Here is a 4,052-nt window from a genome sequence, read left to right as displayed (position 1 = left end):
TGAAAATGAAGTTTCAGCAGATTCTGTTTGACCTTGAGCACATGTAGCCCTTCTCTCCTTTCCTGTCCTACCATCAAACACTCTGCTTAATATTTGCATGTATCAAATACTGTGTCTCACAGTATCTATTCATTCACCTCTACTCCTGGTCTGCCTGCTGGTTGTTCTCTCCTGGAATTTAAGATTACCCTCCTTATTGGTGTGAAATTAAATTAAATAAGTCAAACTTCAAATAATTTAAACTTAAAGCTATTAGGACTTTAATTATTCTGAGCCTTGAGAGGAATGTGGCTATGCAATCTGAGTTGTGTGGCATGCACCTACAACTTCTGCATTTTTGCTGTTTCCTGTAAACAATTAAGAAGACTGAGCCATGGCAGAGGTAAGACCCCTCAGATCATTACCTCTCCTTAAGGAATAGCAAATAATCTTCCTTAGAACATAGCAACCTATAACCAATCAAATCACTGTGGTGTATGCACCTTGTCTAGTATGAAAAATGTTGTAATCTGGCTGGAACTTCTGTCTTTACTTATGTAACTGAAACTTTTCCGGTTGTTTGGAGTTGATGCTTTTCCAAGTGGCCACCCTCAAGCTTTGTCCTTGAATGAACTGAATACTTATTCACATTTTCTGAATCTCATTGTTTAAGGTTGACTTTGGTGTTTGGGGGTGAGAACTGGTGGGCTGAAGAAGGGGTAGAAAGGGATGTTGGACTTGGTCTGAACACCAATGGTGGCAGAAATCAATGATGGCAGGCACTTGCCAAATCATCTGTTGGTCTCCTACTTGATTTTTTAATGAAAGTGACATTTGTATTTACTAGACTAGAGGATTGATTAGAAGGGGGAAAACCAGCCAGTCACAAGGCTGATAGAATAGAAGAGGGGACAGGCTTTTGGGTAGAGCGTGGGATGGTGAGAAAAAGAATGAGTTTGGGAAAAAAGAAAGGTATTTGAACAAGTGGCTGAAGCAGATGTCAGATCTGGAGCTGGGGGGTGGGTTCATCTGGCCCCAGCCTGTGGCTGCCTCTCCCTAACATGCAGGTGAGCCTGGCCTGGGGGAAAGCCCAGAGTCCATTACGCGCTCATTTCTCCACAATGTGAGCCCAACCTCTGCAACCACGCCCTTCACCTTGTCACCCTGTTACCCCCACCAGCTTTATTACTTTATCCTTTTAAAAAACCATGAATGGCAGCTGTTATACAAAAATCTATTTTATGTGAAAATTTGGGAGTCATACATATGCAAATATGTAATTATATAATAACAATATGCTTCCATAGGGACATCATATCTTAACAATTAAAGCAAATCTTTGCACTGATTCTTGCAAGGACTTATACAATACCCCCATGAGGTAGAGAAGGGAGGAGCATCCCACAGTTTTTACAGCACTGAGATGACATATACATCCAAGGCTTTATGTTCAAAACCCACCAAAATCCATGGAAGATTAAATTAAAATATTAATAACTTTTAAAATCTACTAAGAAAAACCATGATTCACATTATTACATAAAGCTCATATTCCTTAGAATTAGATTAAAATAATCTCAGAACCACTCTGAGAAAGGACAGGGTATACAAATTATTTGTTTCTCAAGTCATGGCTTGTTTTCAGTTCAGTCATGAATGTTCAAAGCTTTGGAGTTTGGGTTTTCTTGTCCAGGTGCTTCATAAAGTCCTGGACCCACTTCTGTGTGGGGTCAGCACAGATCTCCTTGTCCAGTTTGGTCTTGAAGCTGTGGAGCAGAAAGGAGACAGTCAGATGGAACACCTTGAGGGTTCAGCCTGGGAGTGTGACCAAGTCTATGGGAAATCTGTCTAGCCCATCAGCCTAGCTGATGGGGATGCCTCAGGGATGAAGGAAGAAGATAAAACAAAGGAAGGGGACTCAGAGAAGCAGCTCTTTTTGGTAGCCCAAGTGAATCTCTCTTGGTTCCAGGATGAAGGAACGAACTGAGATGTAAAATGATAGCTGGAAAGGGAGCTGAGAGTGAGAAGCCACTTTCTTTACTTGTATTGTTTCTCACTGGCAAATGTCTGGGATAAGGTTAGAGATGCTGTATGCATCACAGTATTTGACTCCAACTCATTCTGATACTAGTCCTATTCCCTGCCCAGGGAAGAACCTAGGACTGAGGTGTGAGGGGTGGGTGGTCATCGTCCACATACATTACAGCTTCCCGGGGACAGTGGCTACTGGTGGTCCTTCTGTAGCTCTCCAGCCTCTGCTTAGGGATTTTCTTATTGATAAATCTGTAGCAGCAGGTAGTTGAAGTATTAATCCCAACTGCAATGAAACAACAAGAAGAAAAGTCCATTGAGGGTGTGTCCTGGGTCTTTCTGTTTGTAAAACAGGGAATGGTAAGAAGAAGGAATCAGAAAGAAAGGAAGAGGTGGAGGGAAAAGCTGCCCATCCCAAACCCAATGTCTCTGCCCTTTGAGGCATTTCATAAACTCCCTTTCACTTTTATGGACTGTGAAATAGGGATGCACCATCACCAGTTGAAAGACGGAAGAGGAATTGATGGCTACTCTGGGCATTGCTAGGAGGGGCTAATATAATAATCCAATTCCTTAGAGCAAGGGTACCCCAACTATGGATCCCCTTTTAGGCTCTGAGCATTCAATGCTTGGTCATGAGTTTCCCTGATACGTACCACCTCTGCAGAGCTGCTGTTTCTGGAAGCTGGGCTTCCACAGACCAGATTCTGGGTCTCCCGGTATCTGGAAACAGCCCGCACACCCATCCCCAGAAGCCTCCTGTCTTTGATCACCCTGATCCCAAATTCTGCTGGAAGCAGCTGGAGTGGTAACTGCACTGAGGGTGTTCCCAGAGCTGGAATCCTAGAAGGAGCTGGATTTGGGGTTCACAGCTGGAATTCTAGTTCAGGCTCTACCCAACAGCAGCTGTGTGGTTGGGCTCACCCCTTATCCTTTTTCTAAGTTACCTTATCTTGGAAAAGTAGCTGTTAAAGTGAGACTGTGGGTATCAGGTCTTCTTGATTGGTCCAGGATAACCCAGAGAGGGGGCAATGTGCTTCAAGGAGAAGGAGAGAGGGACCTTACCTGGCTGAGCAAGCCCCTGGGGGCTGAAAGCAGCTGCTGTGAGCAGCAGACACAGAAGTGCTGCAGAGGCTTTCATGTTGGAGGGTGAGGGCATGGGCTTCCACATGAGAATTGGAGGTTTCTGGTTTGGTCTCAGCCCCTCTGCTCCTCTGGAAGCTCTGTCTCTGCCTTTTATAGGAAGCAGAGAGGATGAATCATAGAATGGAGTAATAAATCTATGGAGTAATAAATCTGCTGAGCCAGTGCACTTCAGTGGGAGGATAGGAAATGACAGTATGAGTCGAGGCTAGCCTGTTTTTCAGCTAAGACCAGGAGTGGTAGGTGAGGTAGGGTCTATGTAGAGGAAGACCACAGTATGTAATCTATGGCTATTATCAAGAGACCAGTTTCTCTGAAATGAGACACATTCTATAGAAAAAGGAAGGAATCAGGGATACCAAAGTCAAAGATATGTAAGGGATATTCCCCTTTTCCCTTTGGAGTGGTATCCCTAGGACACGAGTCCACAAAGAGACATTCAAACTTTGGTTCAACTCTACAAAGGACTCAAAGATTCTTCACTGTCTTAAATCCTGGTGGCTTTCTAAAACCCAGAGAAAAGTAAAATAATAGAACATTAGCAGAAAAATAAAATTCAATATTCTTAGAATAATAGTACCTAAAATTGTAGTGTCTATTTCAATAATCTATTGCTGCATAGCAATCTATCTGAAAACAGTGACTTAAAACAATAACAATCTTCTGGGTTTTTTTGCTCTTGACTATATCACAAGGCCTTCATTCAGTGTCTGGGGTCTGGGCTGGGAGGACTTCAACAGCCAGCAGTTGGACCAGATGGAATTTCTCAGGTGTCTCTCTCTCTCTCTGTATGTGTGTGTGTGTGTGTGTGTGTGTGTGTGTGTGTGTGATCTTTCCAGTGGTCCCTCCACATGGCTAGATATTTTGCATGATGGCTTAAGGATCCCAGGTGCAAGGTT

The 4,052-nt window shown here is 43.5% G+C and overlaps 1 protein-coding gene across 1 annotated transcript; it reads right to left on the bottom strand.

Moving 5' to 3' along the window:
- Positions 1-1,199: 1,199 nt before the first annotated feature.
- CCL7 (C-C motif chemokine ligand 7) lies at positions 1,200-3,221 on the bottom strand. The gene is made up of 3 exons (NM_006273.4): positions 3,076-3,221; positions 2,179-2,296; positions 1,200-1,745 (listed from the first exon to the last, which is right to left on the bottom strand). The coding sequence occupies exons 1-3, from the start codon at positions 3,149-3,151 to the stop codon at positions 1,640-1,642; spliced, it is 300 nt and encodes a 99-aa protein (NP_006264.2). The 5' UTR covers positions 3,152-3,221; the 3' UTR covers positions 1,200-1,639.
- Between the last annotated feature and the right edge of the window lie 831 nt (positions 3,222-4,052).

This window comes from Homo sapiens, chromosome 17, assembly GCF_000001405.40.
Source record: "Homo sapiens chromosome 17, GRCh38.p14 Primary Assembly".
Classification (NCBI taxonomy): Eukaryota; Metazoa; Chordata; class Mammalia; order Primates; family Hominidae; genus Homo; species Homo sapiens.
This window is presented reverse-complemented; position numbering and strand designations above follow the sequence as displayed.

Excerpts from the sequence above, each read along its gene's own strand:
- CCL7 (NM_006273.4), bottom strand. The coding sequence starts at position 3,151 with ATGAAAGCCTCTGCAGCACTTCTGTGTCTGCTGCTCACAGCAGCTGCT. Across the intron at positions 2,297-3,075 it reads CCAGGGGCTTGCTCAGCCAG|TTGGGATTAATACTTCAACT; the intron begins GTAAGGTCCCTC and ends GTTTCATTGCAG. Across the intron at positions 1,746-2,178 it reads TGTCCCCGGGAAGCTGTAAT|CTTCAAGACCAAACTGGACA; the intron begins GTATGTGGACGA and ends TCTGCTCCACAG.